The 21,983-nt window shown below is 43.7% G+C and overlaps 2 annotated features.

Moving 5' to 3' along the window:
• Nucleotides 219-725: an enhancer, noted in NCBI's record as "NANOG hESC enhancer chr8:6189146-6189652 (GRCh37/hg19 assembly coordinates)". NCBI's record gives its function as "activates a minimal SCP1, AML or CMV promoter by ChIP-STARR-seq in naive H9 embryonic stem cells {active_cell/tissue: H9 hESC(naive)}" and the evidence as "EXISTENCE:reporter gene assay evidence [ECO:0000049][PMID:30033119]".
• Nucleotides 18,109-19,308: an enhancer, noted in NCBI's record as "P300/CBP strongly-dependent group 1 enhancer chr8:6170563-6171762 (GRCh37/hg19 assembly coordinates)". NCBI's record gives its function as "activates an origin of replication core promoter dependent on BRD2, BRD4, P300/CBP, MED14 and CDK7 cofactors, with strong dependence on P300/CBP, by STARR-seq in HCT116 cells {active_cell/tissue: HCT116}" and the evidence as "EXISTENCE:reporter gene assay evidence [ECO:0000049][PMID:35650434]".

Below are 21,983 nucleotides of genomic sequence, written 5' to 3'. Positions count from 1 at the left end.
GTTTGCATTTCCTGTACTAAAATTTCACAGTGAAGTTACTCAATGAATACTTATTTTTACCTCTTGGGATGCATATTAGCTATCTGTTGCTGTGTAACAAATTACCCCAAAATTTAGTGGCTTAAAACAACAAACATTTATTAGTTAGCTGTTTTTGTGGGTCAGGAATCCAGTCATGGCAAGCAGAGCTGTCACACCCTCCTCAGGGAGTTGGAGCGCTTCACCATCCTGGCACATCCATGTGTGCACTGACCAGGAGGAAGCTGCGCTGAGTTGGTGTTCAAAGACTTTACTGGGGCTTCATTGACTCAGTAAATCACTGGCTGCCCGATTGAACTTAATCTCCAGCCTCTTCCCGGAGGTCCGGCAGCTGAAAGTCCCAACCCTATATCTACCTGCTTGGTCTTCCTGGTGATAGCCCCATCATGAAGGGGGCCTAGGCTGAGTCACCTCATTAGCTTAACAAAGGCACTTGTACTGCTCAGAAAATTCCAAAGGTTATTGAAGCTCTGTGTCAAGAACTGGGGACAATAGTAGCTCTTTTGGAGGATATTCTTCGGATTCTCATTTTAGATTTCTTCCCATTCCCTCTCTTCTTCATGACCCAACAGAAGCCAGAGTTTATTTCGATCTGGAAGATGCACCAACTGTCTCTTCCTTCTTTAGGTGGCCAACTAGAAAACAAAAGGGATTTCAATGAAAAGAAGCCCACAGGAGGCCATTTATTTTTATTTATTTTTCCTCTAGTTCAGAAGAAAGTTTTGTTTTGTTTTGTTTTGTTTTTTGACTATTCATAGGATAGGAAACCAGAGAGTATGGGGGCCAACCAGAGAATCTTAATAGTGTTCATTTGCCTGGACTCGCTCTTTGCAGATGTACCCATTGGGAGCCAGCAGAGGGGGCTGCAGGTGTGGTGTTTGACCAGGGAAGACTCTGGGGCTCAGGATTCTGCCACACACCATGAGGATGTACACACAGTTGGAGGCACTTATTTATTTGTCTTCCCTCATGTTCTTACTTCCTTCCAAGCAGCTTCATTTGTACACAGATTGGTCTGTCTTTCCCCATTTCCATCGTATATAATTTTCCCGTCCCAGTTCTTGCCTTGGTCAGATTGTTTCTCTCCTCAGTGCTTCTTTCTCTGATCTTTTACAGTTCCAAGTGAAAGTGCATGTATTTATGTGGAGTGAATAATGTATGAATCCATTCTTTTCAATGCATGAAATTGTACTCCTTGTAATGTCACTCATTAATCTTTATGGCAAAACCAGTGGGAGAAGGTCAATATGGTTAAAGATAATTAGCGATTGATTAGCAACTGAGAAGCTAAATAAAAAAACACATTTCCCTCTCAATGACTTGAGTTGATAAAAACAAGAATTCTTGTTTGAGACAAGTCGTAGTATTCAGGACTGTGATGGAGAAAAATTTTTGCATTAAAATGGGCATAAATCAAGGCAAACATTTATTTGGGAAAAGAGACAGGAACCATTCCCAAGTTTTCATTATAATTAATTTTGTTAAAGAATATCCGTCACCAGAAATCTAAAATCCTTATAAATATTTAATGGCAAAAATTGGAAATGCTGATATTGCAAGACCAATTCAACGTACTGTTTACCCTTCCAATGTATTCAGTATTTTAAAGGAGGCTGTTTGTCTTCCTGACCTTTTTCAGTAGACTCACAAAAAGCCTGCTCACAAAAAGCAATTCAGGCATGTGCAACTGAATGATGATAAGACTGCTGGGGACTGAAATGTAGAGACCATCTTCCCCGGTGTGGCAAGAGCTTGCATGCAGAAACTGTGTGTTATTCATTTTGGTTTTTCTAGGGCCTTACACACATCTGAACATTGAAGATGCCCAGTAAGTCCTCACTGAAAAGAAAACGGTACAGAGATTGTTGGTAGATGTAGATGGCTTAGCCTTAGACTCATTTTCTTTGTTTGTACTTTCTGTTCTTCCCACTACTTGCAATCTATGATTCTTCCCACTCTCCTTCTTTCCTGTTGCACTAGTAGTTTGGAGGGACCTACAATAGTTTCTCCTGCCAATAGAGTAAGAAAGGAAGGAGGGTCGACTTGGCACAGTGGCTCACACCTGTAATCCCAGCGCTTTGGGAGGCCAAGGTGGGCGGATCACAAGGTCAGGAGATCGAGACCATCCTGGCTAACAAGGTGAAACCCCGTCTCTACTAAAAATACAAAAAATTAGCCGGGCGCGGTGGCGGGCGCCTGTAGTCCCAGCTACTCGGGAGGCTGAGGCAGGAGAATGGCGTGAACCCGGGAGGCGGAGCTTGCAGTGAGCCGAGATTGCGCCATTGCAGTCCGCAGTCCGGCCTGGGCAACAGAGCGAGACTCCGTCTCAAAAAAAAAAAAAAAAAAAAAAAAGAGAAATATGTAGGCGAAAAGGAAAATATTTGAATTTCAGGCTTCTTTCCTCCCACAAACTTCTCCCCATTCTCTGCCAAGACCTGACAGTAATTTCTTAAGGTGGAGCACCCTTAAGTGAACAAATACTTATTAAAGATTTTTTTGTGAATCCCCTTATTACACCTAATTACGGAGTATTTTATGATAATTTATTTGGAAACCCAGGCTCCATTTCCCGTTTGCCTTCTATAAAGTCCAATGGCATCATTGTGATATTAAAACCATGCAGTTTTTTTTTTTTTTTTTTGAGACAGAGTTGCGCTCTTGTTGCCTAGGCTGGAGTGCAATGGTCTGATCTCAGCTCACTGCAACCTCCACCTCCCAGGTTCAAGCGATTTTCCTGCCTCAGCCTCCCGAGTAGCTGGGATTACAGGCACCCACAACTAGGCCTGGCTAATTTTTGTATTTTTAGTAGAGACGGAGTTTCACCATGTTGGCCAGGCTGGTCTTGAACTCCTCACCTCAGGTGATCTACCTGCCTCAGCCTCCCAAAGTGCTGGGATTATAGGAGTGAGCCACTGCGCCTGGCCATGATTGGTATATCTAACCAAAAATAAGCTCATGAACAATTAACCTATTCAGCAGAGGAAAATGATCATTGACAGTCATTGGCTTGGTAATAAATATATATATATATTTTTTTTCTTAACTTCTCAGTAAGAGTCTCTGGCCGGGTTCCTAAACTTGAAGGCCTAAGGATAAGAAATGACTGATTACTGGCCAGGCACAGTAGCTTACGCCCGTAATCCCAGCACTTTGGGAGGCCAAGCTGGGCAGATCAATTGAGGCCAGGTGTTTGAGACCAGCCTGGCCAACACCGTGAAACCCCATTTCTATTAAAAATGCAAAAATTGGTCAGGCGCTGTGGCTCACGCCTGTAATCCTAGCACTTTGGGAGGCCAAGCTGGGCAGATCAATTGAGGCCAGGTGTTTGAGACCAGCCTGGCCAACACCGTGAAACCCCATTTCTATTAAAAATGCAAAAATTGGTCAGGCGCTGTGGCTCACGCCTGTAATCCTAGCACTTTGGGAGGCCAAGGCGGGAGGATCATGAGGTCAGGAGTTTGAGACCAGCCTGGCCAACATAGTGAAACCCTGTCTCTACTAAAAAATACAAAAAATTTGCTGGGTGTGGTGGCGAGCGCCTGTAATCCCAGCTACTCGGGAGGCTGAGGCAGGAGAACTGCTTGAACCCGAGAGGCAGAGGTTGCAGTGAGCTGAGACTGCGCGATTGCACCCCAGCCTGCGCAACAGTGCGAGACTGCATCTTAAAAAAAAAAAAAAATCCAAAAATTAGCCAGTCAAGGTGGTGGGCGCCAGTAATCCAAGCTACTCAGGAGGCTGAGGCATGAGAATCGCTTGAACCCAGGAGGCAGAGGTTTCAGTGAGCCGAGTTCATGTCAGTGCACTCCAGCCTGGACAACAGCATGACTCCGTCTCAAAAACAAAAAACAAAAAACAAAAAAACACACACACACTAAAAGGAGGCCAGGCACGGTGACTCACAGCTGTAATCCCAGCACTTTGGGAGGCCAAGGCGGGAGGATCACAAGGTCAGGAGTTTCAGACCAGCCTGGCCAATATGGTGAAACCCCGTCTCCACTAAAAATACAAAAAATTAGCCGGGCGTGGTGGCAGGCGCCTGTAGTCCCAGCTACTCGGAGGCTGAGGCAAGAGAATGGCGTGAACTCGGGAGGCGGAGCTTGCAGTGAGTGGAGATTGCGGCACTGCACTGCAGCCTGGGCGACAGAGCGAGACTCCGTCTCAAAAAAAAAAAAAAAAATAGATACACTAATGACAACTTTCAGGAGATTCTGTTGGGAAGGGTGCTGGAATCCACTGATGGGGTGACGTCAAATGAGAGGGAGATGGGACCCGGTACAGATGCAGCTAGGGGGAGCAATTTGGTTATGATGTGACTCCTGAATCAGTAGGCTGAACACACATTCAAAGGCCATAGGGGCTTACTTATTATGGGCTGTGTCCCTTTCCAAGGGGTTCTGATGTGGTGGGTTTGGTGCAATAGCACAGTTCTGAAGGCATTGATCAATGCTCACTGTCATTGATGTTCCAGCTCTCGCCAACCCCTTGTCCCTCAGCTATATTCTTTGCTGGTTCTCCAGAGTTCACTGCTACGGTTGTGTGCGTGCTGCCAGGCGTGGGAGTGCTGTCATAGTTAATTTTATGTGTCAGTTTGACTGGGCTAAGAGATGCCCAGGGGGTTGGTAAATCATGATTTCTGGGTGTGTCTGTGCTGGTGTTTCTGGACGAGATTAGCGTTTGAATCTGTAGACTGAGTAAGGTGGATGTCCCCTCACCAATATGCGTGGGCATCACCCAGTCTGTTGAAGGCTGAGATGGAATAAACAGATGGGGGAAGGGTGAGCTTGCTCTCTTTGCTTGAGCTGCGACATCTGTCTTCTGCTGCCCTTGGGCATGAGAGCTTCTGGCTCTTGAGCCTTTTTACTCAGACTGGGACGTACACCCTTGGCTGTCCTGGTTCTCAGGCCTTTGAGCTTGGATTGGAACTACACCACCTGAGTTTGTGGTCCTCGCCCTTGCAGATGGAAGGCTGTGGGACTTCTCACCTTCCATTATCATGTGAGTCAATCTCTAATAATAAATGTCTTTTCATATATCTGTATGGATTCTATGGATTTTGTGTCCCTGGAGAATCCTAACACAAGTACCCTAGCAACATCTTGTTGGTTTAAAATTTGTGATACTTGGGTCGAGGAGGCTCTAGGTATTTTCTGGGAGTTCTAAGTACATCAAGCCACTGTTAATGATGGGTGTAATGGACTAGAATGAACTAAGTTGATAACAGGGCTTCTATACCAATTCATTGTAAATAAGAGAAGTGAGAGAGAAGCTCTGTATCAGATCTCAGCAGATCTGATGGAAAGAGGAGAAGGCTGCTGCTGTGGAGGCATCTCAGTGCTCAGGGCTTGCTCCTACAGCTTACCAGTGGCTAATGTCACCAGGGCCACTTCTAGATACTCTCTTCCGATGAGGATGAGTCTGCTCACATATGCCAGCTTCCACCTGGGGGACCTGGAACAAGAAACGCTGAGTCTACACACAGCGGTCATCATGCCCATGGCAAATGACAGCCCCAGGAGAAAACCAGGAGATGTAAACATTGTCCCCTGACTTCAGAATGAACTCATTCTGCATTGTCAGGTAAGGGAGCTCCTTTAGAGCAAGACTTCACTGGCTTTCCTTCTGAAATAAAACAAATCTAAACATGGGAAACGGATCATGCTATGCTTGGGAAGCAGTTAATGTCCTATTAGAAAAACATTGATTTGCTATATCTTGTACAAAGTCAGAAATGTTTTCCCTAAGAGCTATTTGTATTCTGCTCAGGTTTCCGTTTGAATTCACTGTGTTGTCTTAGACTAAGTTAACGGTGAGTTTCTGTCTCTCTCATGAATTCTAAAATGCACACTGGAGAACTTCTAGTAGACTGTACAAGCAAAATGAACAAACAAAATTAATTAGAAAATGCTAGAAAATGCTAGTATTAAGCAGTACCTGGCTGGATCTCCTTTCTTCCTTTCTCTTCCTTCCTTCTTTCTTTGCTCTTCTCTTCCTCCTCCTTTCATTCCTTCTTTTCCCTTCTCCTCCCCTCCTTCCTCCCTCCCTCTTCCCTTCTTCCCTTCCTTCCTCCTGAGTTGACACCATTCTCTTGCCTTAGCTATGATGTGACTCCTGAATCAGTAGGCTAAACCCATATTCAAAGCTAAACCCATTCCTTCCTCCCTCCCTCCTTCCCTCCCTCCCTTCCTTCCTTCCTCTCTTCCTCCCTCCCTCCCTCCCTTCCTTCCTTCCTTCCTTCCTTCCTTCCTTCCTTCCTTCCTTCCTCCCTTCCTTTCTCTTCACCCATCCTTCCCTCCCTTTCTTCTATCTCTTTCTTTCTCTCTTTCTCCCTTTCTTTCTCTCTCTCTCCTTCCTTCCTTCTTTCTTTCCTTCCTTCTTTCCTTCTTTCTTTCTCCCTTTCTTTCTTTCTTTCTTTCTTTCTTTCTTTCTTTCTTTCTTTCCTTCTTTCTCCTTCCTGCCTGCCTGCCTTTTCTCTCTCTCTCCCTCTGCCTCTCCTTCTCTCATTTGCTTCCTTGCTTGCCAAGGGACTCTTTCCTGGGAGAGGTGATTTTAGAGCTACAGTCATATATTAAGAGAGCTCACAAAATGTCCCGGCCTTCAGTAAAACACTGTATCTGTTAGTGTATCTGTTTTTTTTTTTTTTTTTTTTGAGACAGAGTCTCACTCCATTGTCCAGGCTGGAGTGCAGTGGCGCGATCTAGGCTCACTGCAACCTCTGCCTCCTGGGTTCAAGCGATTCTCCTGCCTCAACCCTCCAAGCAGCTGGGATTACAGGCTTGTGCCACCACTCCCAGCTAATTTTTTTTTTTGGTAGAGATGGAGTTTCACCGTACTGGCCAGGCTGGTCTCAAATTCCTGACCTCATGATATGCCCACCTCGGCCTCCCAAAGTGCTGGGATTACAGGCATGAGCCATGGCACCCGGCCCGGTGTATCTGTTGATCCTGGAATAAGGAGCTGGAGGATGGAGGATGGTGAAGAGGCGGAGAACATAGCTGAGGTTAGGGTATTGGTGAGAATTGGAAGATCGGTGATAGGGACGGCAGGTAGGTAACTTACTCACCTTCGTCACCCAGGTGCCTAGCACAATGCTTAGCCTAAAACATGCGTTTGATAGAGTGAGTGAATTCAGGATCATAGGGCCAAAAGTTCAGAATGTTTCTTGAGGTCTGGCTGCTCCTTCACACCTGCCTGGGAATGAGCAGATATTTCATAGTCTGGCGCTGGGGTGGTTTCTCCTGCCATGAACTCCTTCAGGTATTTAAAGATCTGATATCCCCAATTTAGTGGGAGATTTCCCTGCAAGGCTTCAGGGATTTTCTGAAGGTTCAGAGTCAAGGTAGTCCTGGTTATCTATTCTTGTATTACAAACTACCCCAAAACTTACCAGCTTCACAGAACCATTTTATCATATCTGAGGATTCTGCGGGCCAGAAATTTGAGCACAGGTCAGCTTGGTGACTCTTCAGCTACTGGTGACAGTGACTGAGTTTTCTTCTACATCTAGCTGGTCTAGCGGGTCCCAGGTGTCTTTCTTCCCATGTCTGGCATCTTGTCTGGGATGGCTGGAATGCAGGGCTCAACTGGCATAGAGGACGGGACACACATCTGCGGTCTCTCCAGCATCGTGGTCTTCAGAGAGAAGGAAGGAGGCTGTCAGCGTTTTAAGCCTGGACACAGACACTAGCCCAGTTTCATTTCTGCTCTCCTACATTGGCCAAACAGTCGTAAAGCTTACCCGGATTTCAGGGCAGAGAACATCAATCCCACTTTTTTTTTTTTTTTTTTGAAACAGAGTCTTGTTCTATTGCCCAGGCTGGAGTGAAATGGCATGATCTTGGCTCACTGCAACCTCCGTCTCCTGGATTTGAGCAATTTTCCTGCCTCAGCCTCTTGAGTAGCTGGGATCACAAGCACCTGTCACCACGCCTGACTAATATATTTTTCTTTTTCTTTTTTTTTCTTTTTTTCTTTTTTTAGTAGAGACATGATTTTGCCATGTTGGCCAGGCTAGTCTTGAGCTCCTGACCTCAAGTGATCCAATCACCTTGGCTTCCCAAAGTGCTGTGATTACAGGCATGAGCCACCGCTCGTGGCCCAATCCCACCTGTTGATGAGAGGAGTGATAAAGAATATGTGGCCATCTTTATTTGATCACAAAAAACCCTCAAATTAAAGATGTGTGACAATGGCTAAAAGGTGGAAACAACCCTGGGTTGATGAAACCATAAACAAAATGTGTTCTATTCACACAATGGAACATTATTCTGCCTTAAAAAGACATGGGATTCTGACATGTGCTATGACATAGGTAAGCCTTGAGAACATTATGAAATAAGCCAGTCAAAAAGGCAAATTCTGTATGTTTCCACTTATATGGTACCTAGAGTAGTCAAATTCATAGAGACCAAAGTGAAATGATGGTTGCCAGGGGCTGGAGGAAGATGAGGAGAATGTTAGTGTTCAGTGGGTATAGAATTTAAGTTTTGCAAGATGAAAATGTTGTGGAGGCTGGGCACAGTGTTCATGCCTGTAATCCCAGCACTTTTGGAGGTCGAGGTAGGAGGATCTTTTGAGCCCAGAAGTTTGAGAACAGGGTGGGCAATGTAGCAAGTCCCTGTCTCTAAAAAAATAAAAAAAATAGGCCGGGCGCAGTGGCTCACGCCTGTAATCCCAGCACTTTGGGAGGCCGAGACAGGCAGATCATGAGGTCAGGAGATCGAGACCATCCTGGCGAACACAGTGAAACCCCATCTGTACTAGAAATACAAAAAATTAGCTGGGTGTGGTGGTGGGCACCTGTAGTCCCAGCTGCTCGGGAGGCTGAGGCAGGAGAATGGCGTGAACCCGGGAGGCGGAGCTTGCAGTGAGCTGAGATCGCGCCACTGCACTCCAGCCTGGGCAATAGAGCGAGACTCTGTCTCAAAAAAATAATAATAAAAAAAATAAAAAAATAGCCAGGCACAGTGGCATGCATCTGTAGTCCAGCTACCCAGGTGGCTGAAGTGGGAGGGTTTCTGGAGCCTAGGAGGTTGAGGCTGTAGTGAGCCATGATTGTGCCGCTGCACTCCAGCCAGAGCAACAGAGCAAGACCCTGTTTCTAAAACAAAAAAAAAAGTTCTGGAGATGGATGGTGGAGATACTTGTACAATGTTATGGTAGCTAATGGCACTGAACTGTATACTCAAACATGGACACCATTGTAAATTTTATGTTACGCACATTTTATCATAAAATACAGTCAAAGACATTATATTAAAATTTTAAAAATATGGCAGGTCTCTGAATTTGATTTTCTTCATCTCTATTAATGTCTGATTTTCCTGAAGGTCTCAGTTTCCACAGAGTTTCCTTTAAGGGCTGTGAGTTTCTCTTACCCTCTCTCTGACATTTTAGTATCTAACCTGATCTCCCTTTTATCTAGGATGAATTAGACTCACTGAAATAAGCAGAAGCACAGGCATTTTCACTCTTGGCACCAGTTAGAATAAAACGATTAGGTGATTTATAAATGTCATTTAAAAATTAAGTCCATCGAAGACTTTCTTATCCCCAGAAAAATGTATTACTAAATTATTAATGGTCCTTTATTATTTTTTATTGTTGCCTTATTAAAATAAATAAAACAATAAAATGGAGTTACTAAGAAGTACTTTAACTCACCTGTCAGCATTGATCAGCAGAATCAACACAGGATGCCTTATCAACCTTGCCTACTGTTTGCATGCAAATTATTTCAATTTTGCTTCGCATTGTAACGGTTCCATGACAGAATGACAGGCCCTGTGGGTTTAAGGAAGTGATAGTAGTAAACTAACTTCAATTTAGGAAGACTTTCTGTTGTCTTTTTTTCTTCTAGTAACATATCATTTATTGCCCTGTATTCTATAATAATGCTTAAATGGATTATTACACCAAAAAAATTTGAGAAGAATGCACAAATCATAAATATAGTTTATTGCTTTTTTTTTTTTTTTTTTTGAAACGGAGTCTCGTTCTGTTGCCCAAGCTGTAGTGCAATGGTGCAGTCTCCACTCACTGCAATCTCCGCCTCCCGGGTTCAAGCGATTCTCCTGCCTCAGCTTCCCGAGTAGCTGGGATTACAGGTGCACACCACCACTCCTGGTTAATTTTTGTATTTTTAGAAGAGACGGGGTTTCACCATGCTGGCCGGGCTGGTGTCAAACTCCCGACCTCAGGCAATCCACCTGTCTCGGCCTCCCAAAGTGCTGGGATTACAGGCGTGAGCCACTGCGCACAGCCGTTTATTGCATTTTTTTAATTAAAAAATTACACCCGTGAAACCTGTGACCACATCAGGAAAAAGAACACTTCCAGAACCCCAGAAGCCTCCCGGAGCCTCTGTTGTCAATATCCGTCTCCGTCAAGGGTAGCCTTGCTCTTGACTTTTAACAACATGGATACATTTTTCCCTGCTTTTGAACTTATTTATAAAGGTAAGCATGCAGTAGCTCCTCTTTTTGTGTTGGCTTCTTTCACTCATATTTGTGGTTGTGAGATTCATTCAGGTGCTGCTTGTGGCTGTAGATCATTTTATTCTCATTGAAATATACCACCATCTATTTCTCCATTCTGCTATTGGGCATTTGGATTATTTCTAGTTTTTCAGTAAATATGAAACTGCTACTATCAACATTCTTATACAAGTCTTTTGATACGGATGTATCTGCCTAGCTGTTGAATTTATACAGAGAAGTTGAATTTCTATGTCACAGGGTATACAAATATGCTACTTTGCTTGTACATAACAACCTTTTTCCAAAACCAGTTGTATCAATTTACGTTCTCACCCCTGTGAAAGAGCTTTCTTCGCTCTTCAGACTTGAAATTTTCAGACTCGTTCATTTTAACCCCTCTGGTAGTGGGCAGTAAGATAACATTATGGTATTTATTTGCCAATTATGTAACCACTTTTGTCATGTGCCTGTTCAAGTAATTTGCCCACTTCTTCTATTGGGGTGTCTATTTTTTTCTCACTGATTCACAGATACTTAAAAAAAATCTTCTGGATGTGAATACTTTATAGGATATATTTATTGGAAAATGAATTATCCCATCTAGTGCCTTGCCTTCTTACTCTCTAATGGTATCTTTTGGGGGACAGGAATTCTCAATTTTCATGTACAGTAGTATAATACAGTTTTTCAGTTTTTTCTTTTTGCATTACATCTTTCTTGATTTTTTTTTTTTTTTGACGGAGTCTCGCTCTGTCCCCCACGCTGGAGTGCAGTGGCACAATCTTGGCTCACTGCAAGCTCTGCCTCCCAGGTTCAAGCCATTCTCCAGCCTCAGACTCCAGAGTAGCTGGGACTACAGGCACCCGCCACCACGCCTAATTTTTTGTATTTTTAGTAGAGACGGGTTTTCACCATGTTAGCCAGGATGGTCTCAATCTCCTGACCTCATGATCCAGCCGCCTTGGCCTTCCAAAGTGCTAGGATTACAGGCATGAACCACCGCGTCCGGCCTGGTGTGTGTTTTGTTTAATATATTTCTCTAACACACAGGCAAGAAAAGAGTCTATTTTTAAAAAATGCTTTATTGTCTTTTCATTTTAGATCTGCAATATTATGGTGTGTGATGATTAGTTTTATGTGTCAACTTAGAGGATGTTTTGGGATGAGTTTAATATTTAAATGAGTGGACTTTGAGTAGAGCAGATGGCCCTCTAAAGTGTGGGTGGGCCCCATGCAATCAGTTGAAGGCCTGAACAGAACCAAAAGTCTGGCCACCCTGAGCAAGAGTGAATCCTCCAGCAGTCTGCCTTCGGACTTCCTCTGCACCCTTGACTCTCCTGGGTGTCCAGCCTGCAGCCCACAGTGCAGATATTTACTTGCCAGCCTCCATAACGGCATGAGCCAATTCCTTATAATAACCTCTTTGCATTTATAAACACATCCTATTGGCTGTGTTACTCTGGAGACCCCTGACTAACACAGGGTGTGAGATAGAGGTCAAGATCCCTTTTTCAGTGCCCTAAAACACCTGAACATAACCCCAGGACTCCATGGGAACCCAGTTTAATAATACGGGTCTGGGACATGGAACTTGAGTATTAAACAGATATATCATTCGTCACCTGTTCCTGGCTGTCCATTCTTCCTCACAGGCAATGTGGAGTTTCTGGAGCTTAGGAAGAGCCTTGAAATGGGAAAGGCCAGCCCATCACCAGACACAAAACAAAAGGGTGCTGAAGTTGAGATCTCATCAAGACGCCAGGCTTGCAAGCACAGTCAGTCGGGAGTGTCAAGGGAGGGGGCAGTGAATAAGAACAACACCACTGAAAAAATTGGGAGCAGTGGGGAAGGTGTGCTGGAGGAGAATCTGGAAAAAGTGCCCTGGGCCCATGGAGGGGGATGGGGAGAACTTCTGGAGCTTCTTGCCTCAGCCTATGAGTGGAGCTATCAGCCAGTTTAGCTAAGTAATAGATAACGTTATCCCCTGGGACCCAGCCGCAAACTCAGACGCTGAACCTTCCCGGGTAATCCCGACTCTGTTATATCTGGGTTTCCACGTCAGTTTTTGTTCACTCTGCTGGAGGGAAAAGAATTCGCATGGAATAGATGGTTGCTTCTGAGACATAATCTTATTCCAACAATGGTCAGGTGGAGGAAGAGACAGAGGAGGAGGCATGCAGAGTGCCCTGCACTCCTTGATATTTAATTATGTGCAAACCTGCCCTTCAGAACCTGCAGACACCTCAGGTAAAACTATTCTATCAGGTCATGAATCTTTATTACCCTTTATCTTAAACCTGAGCTATCTCATTGAGTCCGTAGTTTATTACAGGAATCCTATGGGCTCTTCTGGGCCTATTGACTGTATGGCTTGAGGAATATTATTTGTGTAGTATGTACCATTGCAATTTTAGATCCATAGCAGGTATTGAGATTCTGGAAAGTGTTTCTTTTTGGTTTAATTCAGCCAAGTAGCATAGATTAGTATATACATGGCTCTGATGAAATTTCCCATAGAGAGCAAGTTAGGAAGTACACTCGAATATGATATTATAATTTATATATGTGCTTGATTACTTGAAAGGCAAGGACATGACAGGATTAGAATGTTAGTCAAGCATTCTTTCAATAAGTCCTCCCCCTCCCTTTTTTGCAAGAGTAACTTGGTGTTGATGAAGATGATGATAAGGATTATCTAATTATATTATTTAAGACTAGGTTTTATGTATGACGCACATTCAGCCAGACTTAGGAAAGGTACATTTATTTTTGGTTACATATAGAAGACACTCAATAAGTATTTGTTAACTAAGCAAAAAAGTCACACATGGTACTTTTTTTTTTTTTTGAGATAGAGTCTCGCTCCATCACCAGGCTGGAGTGTAGTGGCATGATCTCGGCTCACTGCAACCTCTGCCTCCTGGTTCAAGCGATTCTCCTGCCTCAGCCTCCTGAGTAGCTGGGACTACAGGTGTGCGCTACCATGCCTGGCTAATTTTTGTATTTTTAGTAGAGACGGGGTTTCACCATATTGGCCAGGATGGTGTTGATCTCTTGACCTCATGATCTGCCCGCCTTGGCCTCCTACAGTGCTGGGATTACAGGTGTGAGCCACTGCGCCCGGCCTCACACATAGTACTTTTAAAATAAAATGTTTTATTTAAACTCTGTATTTATCCCTGAGTGGTAAGCCGTGGAAAAATCATTGCTTTTGTGAATGACTAACCATTTATGATTTATAGAGATATATATATGTCATATATGTGTGTGTGTGTATATATATGTATATATCATATATATATAGCATAATAGAGATGGGATCTCTGTTACCCAGGCTGGTTTCAAACTCCTGAGCTCAAAAACTTTATTTATTTATTATTATTATTATTATTATTATTGTTACTGAGACAGTCTTGCTCTGTTGCCCAGGGTGTAGTGCAGTGGCATGATCTCTGCTCACTGCAAACTCTGCCTCCTAGGTTCAAGTGATTCTACTGCCTCAGGCTCCCAAGTAGCTAGGATTACAGGTGCCCACCACCATGCCTGGCTAATTTTTGTATTTTTAGTAGACACAGCGTTTTGCCATATTGCCCAGGCTGATCTCAAACTCCTGACCTCAAGTGATCCACCTCCGTCAACCTCTTCAAATGCTGGGATTACAGGCATGAGCCACCACCCCCGGCCTATGCTTGCATTTATCCCTCTTATAATCAGTGTATAATTTTTAGTACAATTAACTTGCCTAACCCTGACACTCTGCTCATTCTAATGAAAATTTATACAATTGTTTCTATAGTTACTAAAGTGCAAACAAAACAAAGCAAAAACAGAAAAGTCTTCTGTGTTATGAAGACAAAAATGTCAGCACTGGAAAATCCTTGAAGCACTGAAATTCTGTGTAAAAGCATCTAAAGTCATTATTGTAGGGGTCATTTCCCTCTGAGGCCTCATCTTCAGACAGGACTATCGGATCGTCTTTTCTGGGACATGCTGCATTTCTGCATAGCATCATGCAGGACGCTACAAATGGACAGTCAGATTCTGTGCCGAGGAAGCCACTACCACAGTGTATTTGGATCCAAATAAGAAACAGATATGAGACTCTCATTTAATGGCAGATAGAAAGTCTGAATACCACAGGGACATGATATGCATCAGCATGTGGGTTGGCTCCTAGAAATGTAATCTCTCTTTTGATGTACCTTATTGGTTCATCCTATTTTATGCGAGATGAAGTATTGGAGCAGAAAATTGGGCTCAGCTGAGGTCAGATATATGAGATGGGGCAGCCACCAAGGCAAACACAGGTAGAGACCAAGGTAGGTCAGAAGACGAGGTAGTCAAAAAGCAGACAGAGTCTGTGCAAAGATGTGAGTTGAATGACAATCTAAGATTGGGGTCTGCAGGCATTGCCAAGGACACAAAGCAAGGGAATCCAGAAAGTATGTGTGGCACACTGTATTAATCAGGGTTCTTCACAACCTACAGGAGATATATCTGTATCTTTATATCCATCTGTATCTATATCTATGTATATCTATATAACTTATATTTACATCATCTATATCTAATATCATCTGTATCTGTATATATATGATCTATATATATCTAAAATCTATCAATATCTATATCCATATCATTGATATCTATCTCCATCTATTATATCTATATCTAATCATCTATATCTAAAAAGATATTTATTACCAGGAATTGGTTCACACAGTTATGGGGGTGTTCCTAGAACCAAACTTCTGCTGCTGTTGAAATGAGCTGGCAAGTCCATTTCTGTACGGTGGGCTGGGAACTGGAGACCCAGAAGAACTGATGGTGCAGTTAGAGTCTGCGGGAGAATTCCTTTCTGCTTGGGGAGGGCCAGTCATTTGGTTCAATTTATGCCTCCAGCTGATTGGATGAGGCCTACCTGCATTACGGAGGGCAATCTACTTTACTCAAAGTCCACTAATTTAAATGTTAATCTCATTCAAAAGCAACCTCATGGAAGCACCCAGAATAATTTTTGACCAACTATTTGGGCACTGTGGGTCAGCCAAATTGACACACAAAATTAACTGTCACACAGGTTCAGATAATACACTTTTGAATGATGGAGCCCAGCTGAGCCCGGTGGCTCATGCCTGTAATCCCAGTACTTTGGGAGGCTGAGACAGGCAGATCATGAGATCAAGAGATTGAGACCATCCTGGCCAACATTGTGAAACCCTGTCTCTACTAAAAATACAAAAATTAGCTGGGGTGGTGGTGTGCACTTGTAGTCTCAGCTACTTGAGAGGATGAGGCAGGAGAATCGCTTGAACCCAAGAGGTGGAGGTTGCAGTGAGCCGAGATTATGCCACTGCACTCCAGCCTGGGAGACAGAGCGAGACTCTGACTCAAAAAAAAAAAAAAAAGGAAAGATGGAGCCCTTTGCCCATGGCCATATTTCACCTGGCTTTCAAGTTAGAGCAAAGTGAGTTACATTCTGACAAGAATATTTACCTGAACTGTGTGCTTTATATTACATTAGGAATATAAATGGTTGGAGAAGACAGACAAAGAGAACCGCTCTTCTGTAACAACGGGAAGGTGAAACCCCTTTTTGGACTGGCAATGGTGAAATCTAAGCATGGCTCCAATTTGAGTAGGGGACACGGATACTGTTGACCTCTTTGCTGAAGGGGAGAATCTGGGAGAAAGTTTCTCTTATCCGTAATATCTGCATATTGTGCTTTGGTAAGGTGAACTGTTAGGAAAGAAGTACTAAGAAAATTGAAAAACTTTAATGATCAATATTGAGAATAAAAATGTTTATGCTGGGAAGCGTAATTTGATCATGACCTCGACCTGTGTAACTCTGAAGTGATTTGCATATCGCCAGTGCATGTGCTTCCCCCCAGCATCTGCATCTCCCCCAGGCTGGGCCATCTCCTGTGGACGGGACGTCTCCAGCACCACAGGAGAAAGAACAAAGAGTGCAAGGCGTCACTTGCTCTGTGCCTCTCAGGGTGATCCAAACACACAGCTGGCACTTAACATCAAAGCGAACTTGGCTTACAGGGATGTGGAGGAAGATCAGACTCTGGCACTTAGCGTTTTCCTTTTATTTTAGCATGATCACCAATGCCACAGACCCCCTGGGGATGGACTCATTTCAACAGCGGCAGAAGCTCCCTTCTAGAAGCACTCCCATTTGCACAGGACAGAGGTGAATGGAAATGAACGTATGACATTGAAAGGCATCTCTTGATATGTTTTTATAATCATTAAATTTTCTAACTGTAAAAGAAATCACGTTCTTATTCCTTTTTTTTTTTTCTTTCTTGAGTTGGAGTTTCACCCTGTCGCCCAGGCTGGAGTGCAGTGGTGCGATCTCGGCTCGCTGCAACCTCTGCCTCCTGGATTCAAGCAGTTCTCCTGCCTCAGCCTCCCAAGTAGCTCGGATTACAGTCATGCGCCATCGTGCCCGGCTGATTTTTTTGCATTTTTATTAGAGACAGGGGTTTCACCGTATTGGCCAGGCTGGCCTCGAATTCCTGAGGTTGTGATCCACCCTCCTTGGCCTCCCAAAGTGTTGGGATTACAGTCATGAGCCACCGCGTCTGGCCCCATGTTCTTATTCTTAAGAGAAAAATAGAAGAAACAGAAGAGAATAGAGGGGAAAATATCCAATATTAAACAATCAACAAACGTAAAGTATTTATTATGTGCCAGGCACTGTGCTTGAAATAACTACTACTAAGATCCATGCATTCCATGTATTCTGCATAGATCCATACATGTGAATCTCATGAATCTTCATAGAATATTCCCTCTGTCTCTCTTTTTCATATATATATATGTGTGTGTGGGTGTGTGTGTGTGTGTATATATATATGTATACATATATAATTTAAGTTTGTGTACACATCTATATTTTTAATTCAAAGTTGGAGAATGTTTGTATGACTCAGGATACAGCTTCTCATTTAAAAGTGACTTGTGGGCCGGGCGCGGTGGCTCATGCCTATAATCCCAGCACTTTGGGAGGCCAAGGCAGGTGGATTACCTGAGTTCAGGAGTTCGAGACCAGCCTGGCCAACATAATGAAACCCCGTCTCTACTAAAAATACAAAAATTAGCCGGGTGTGGTGGTGGGCACCTGTAATCCCAGCTACTCAGGAGGCTGAGGCAGGAAAATGGCTTGAACCCAGGAGGCGGAGGTTGCAGTGAGCTGAGATCGCGCCATTGCACACTCCAGCCTGGGCGACAAGAACGAAACTCCATCTCAAAAAAAAAAAAAAAAAAAAAAACAAACCAGTGACTTGTGGCCGGGCGCGGTGGCTCATGCCTGTAATCCCAGTGCTTTGGGAAGCTGAGGCGGGCAGATCACGAGGTCAGGAGATCGAGACCATCCTGGCTAACATGGTGAAACCCCATCTCTACTAAAAATAGAGAAAATTAGCCGGGCGTGGTGGCGGGTCCTGTAGTCCCAGCTACTTGGGAGGCTGAGGCAGGAGAATGGCTTGAACCCGGGAGGCGGAGGTTGCAGTGAGCTGAGATCATGCCACTGCACTCCAGCCTGGGTGACAGAGCGAGACTCTGTCTCAAAAAAACAAAAAAAGAAGAAAAAAGAAGAAAAAAGATTTCTGGAGAGCTTCCTAATGCCTGGCACTATCCTAAGCATAAAGAGTAGATGGGCGAACAAATCAGACAAAAACGCCTGCTCCCATGGATCTTAAATCTGGTGCGCATTTCTTATATGCGTGCATCTTTTCTGTTTTCATCTTTATTCTGTGCTCCATAGAATGCTCTTTTCTCTCATTTAAGTAACCCTCCCATTCTTGAGTCTAGCACTGTCATCCAGGCTGGAGTGCAGTGGTGCGATCTGGGATCACTGCAACCTCCGCCTCCTGAGTTCAAGTGATTCTCCTGCCTCAGCCTCCGAAACCCTCCCATTCTTTAGTACCCAGGTCAAAGTCCGCTTCCTTCTGTGACTCACCCTGGGCTTTTCCAGCTAGAATGCCAGCTCATCTAGTTACTGGGCATGTGCTCCGTGTTGAGCACTGACATTGCTTTTCTTGAATGTTTAAACTCTTACTCTTCACCTCCCGGCTGGCACTGAGCAATGTCTCCCTTGCACTGTGGTTCCTTATGTTCATGACCCTTTTCTCCTGTGAAACAAAAAGTTCCTTGCAGCCAGTGTCCAGGACTTACCTGTTTTTGCCTCCCTTGCATCACTAAGCACGGGGCCACGTGGACCACTGATGCGTCATACATGTTTCTTGAAGAAAGTAAGTGAAGGGGGAACTGGCCGTGATTCTTGTTGTTTTATATGGGCACGCATCGGACACTGGCCAGTGGACAAAGGAAACAAAGTCTTTTGTTTTGACTCTGAATGGGTCCAAGTCCTTCCCTGTAAGGCTTGGGGACAGGCCAGTGGTGGAGTAACTGCAGGTCGTGTCCAGGAATACTTCATACCTAACGCCATTTCAGGTATCAGGGATGTTATGCAACATTAGATCACCCCAAGCAAACTTTCCAAAGGATGCCTGTCCAGCTCAACTTCCTTGAAACTTTGGATGTTCTATGAGTTTTCTAATGCTGCTGTGAAAGAGTACCACAAATTTAGTGGCTTAAAACAACACAAAGTTATTATCTTAAAGTTCTGGAGGTCAGAAGTCCAAAATGGGTTTTAGTGGGGCAAGTAAAAGTGTCAACGGGGCAGTGTTCCTTCTGGCGGCTCTGGGGGAAAATGTTTCCTTGCTTTCTTCAGCTTCCAGAGGCTGCCTGTATTCCTTGGCTCATGGCTTCTTCTTTGCCCAAACCTCTGCTTCTGTGGTCACATCTCCTTCTCTGACTGTGACCCTCCATGTAAGGACCCTTGTGAGGACATTGGGCCCACCTGGATCATCCAGGATCATCTCCCCTCTCGAGGTCCTTCATTTAATCACACCTGTAAAGTACCCTTTGCTATGTAAGATGACCTTGTCACAGGCTTTCTTTGGGAAGACATGATTCTGTCTGTCACAAGATTTTTTTTTTTTTTTTTTTTAACGGATTCTCCCTCTATTGCCCAGGTTGGAGTGCAGTGGTGCAATCTCAGCTTACTGCAACCTCTGCCTCCTGGGTTCGAGAGATTCTCCTACTTCAGCCTCCTGAGTAGCTGGGATTACAGGCCCGTGCCATCATGCCTGGCTAGTTTTTTTGTATTTTTAGAAGAGATGGGGTTTTGACATATTGGCCAAGCTGGTCTTGAACTCCTGACATCGTGATCTGTCCGCCTTGGCCTCCCAGAATGCTGGGATTACGGGCTTGAATCACCGTGCCTGGCCAAGTCACAGGTGTTATTGTCACCATTTCTTTGGTTTCCAGGCCTCCCAACAGGGTTGGGTTTGACAGAGGGCAGATACGTCTGTGGTTGGTGTTATAAGCTGGTTAGAGCATGAAGATCATGAGTGTCCTGACTCACAATAGTTGGTACTAATGCCCTTGTGCATCCTTCTGATTTAGCATTGTACTATTTAGAACACGCTTGTTCTTTGGAGCCTACTTCCTGAGTTTTCTTTCACTCTCTTTCCACAGTTACGTTCCCACAGCCTAGAATAATAGGACAATAGAATGGTAAGCCAGAAAAATCAACTCTTGTTCCTGGGTGTAGAGAAGGTGAAATATCAGGGAGGGAAATGAGGGATGGGGAATAATTTGTGATTATAATATTTTATTTTTTTGCAATGCAACATCTTGTTAGGCTAGTTTGTCCCAAAATATTTTTAAAAACATACATTTTGCACATGGAGAATCCTAGATTTTTAAATATTACCATATTCTGATCCTGTAGCATTTTTTTTTTTTTTTTTTGCCTGGACATGCAACATATATTATTTGCAAAAGCAGTAAAAGTTCATCTATAGAGAAGATATGTTTAAACAATAGTAATTTGAAAATCATAATGCAGTGGATTGAATGTTTGTGTCCCCTGGCCAATATGTCAAAACCCTGTCTCTACAAAAATACAATGCCAAATGCATATGCCGAAGTCCTGGGAAGAGAGGCCTTAGGAAGGTGATTGGTTGTGAGGGTGGAATCCTGATGATAAGATGAGTGCCCTGTAAGAAGAGGCCCCAAGAACACTCATTCTCAGCTACTTGAGGAGGCAGTGAGAGGCACTGTCTATGAATCAGGACACAGGCCCTCACCAGACACTGAATCAGCCAGCACCTTGACCTGGGACCTCTAGCCTCCAGAACTCTGAGAAATACATGTTTGTTGTTTAATCCAGCCAGTATGTGGGATTCTGTCATAGTAGCCCCGAATGACTGAGACAGATACATAAATCAACAGCAGGATGACGCTCTCTTTGCTTTTCCTCATATTGTCCCTTTCTGGCTGTAATTTGAAAAAATAATATCTGCCACGTACGTGTGCATACTTACCCAGCATTAGGCGTGATAATGCTGCTTTGAATTTGAACAATTAAATATCTTCAAAGTGAAGTATCAGGCTGGTTCATACAATTTATTCTTGTTTAGTGAATGACTAAATCTTTTGTCTGTTTCATAAAACAAATTGAGTATGGTTTCCTTATTAGTTTCCCCAACAACTAAGATTTGTGATATCAGGCATTGGTAATCCTACTTATAAACATTTCTCACTCAGAAGCTAGTGAAGTCACAAGAAATGTTACACAAATGCTCTACGAGGAAGTCTAACAATATAGGAAAATGGTCTCACTGTCAATCTCTTGGATAAAATTGGACAGTTTACAGGGAATCAACTGATGGAACGAGAGACAGTCTCTACATACTGCCCTGAGAACATACATAACATTTAGGTTTAATTTTATTTAACCCAATAAACCCTGTCGCCAGGCTGGAGTGCAGTGACACGATCTCGGCTCACTGCAACCTCTGCCTCTTGGGTTCAAGAGATTCTCCTGCCTCAGCCTCCAGAGTAGCTGGGATTATAGGTGCGTGCCACCACGCCCAGCTAATTTTTGTATTTTTAGTAGACATGGGGGTTTCACCATGTTGGCCAGGATGGTCTCGATCTCTTGACCTGGTGATCTGCCCGCCTTGGCCTCCCAAAGTGCTGGGATTACAGGCGTGAGCCACCGTGCCCGGCTGAGTTTGATTTTATTTTACAGGAAATACAAGAAGAGGATCATGTGGGCCCCTCTTTCCATTTACAGTCTGGGACAGTCTTGCAAGTCTAGAAGAAGTGAGGAAAATGAGAAGTGTGATTATTGTAGTTAATATGCTAAGTCCCACAGCAAATTTTGATTTTGTTACTGTTTGGAAGTGAAACTCACTGCATTCAACAAGGATTTACTATCTGTGAATTAAAAATTAATGTGCAGTATTAAATTCAATTATTTATTTAAACAGATAAAATACATAAATCAGAAGTGGTATGCTGATGAAAACAAAGAAACACAGGCTGTATTTTTAGAAATAATTTAGAGATTATTTTTCAACTGTATTTTCTTTAACCTTG

The sequence above is a fragment of the Homo sapiens genome, chromosome 8 (genome assembly GCF_000001405.40).
Source record: "Homo sapiens chromosome 8, GRCh38.p14 Primary Assembly".
Lineage (NCBI taxonomy): Eukaryota > Metazoa > Chordata > Mammalia > Primates > Hominidae > Homo > Homo sapiens.
The sequence above is the reverse complement of the archived record's forward strand: the minus strand, read 5'-3'. Positions and strand labels throughout refer to the sequence as shown.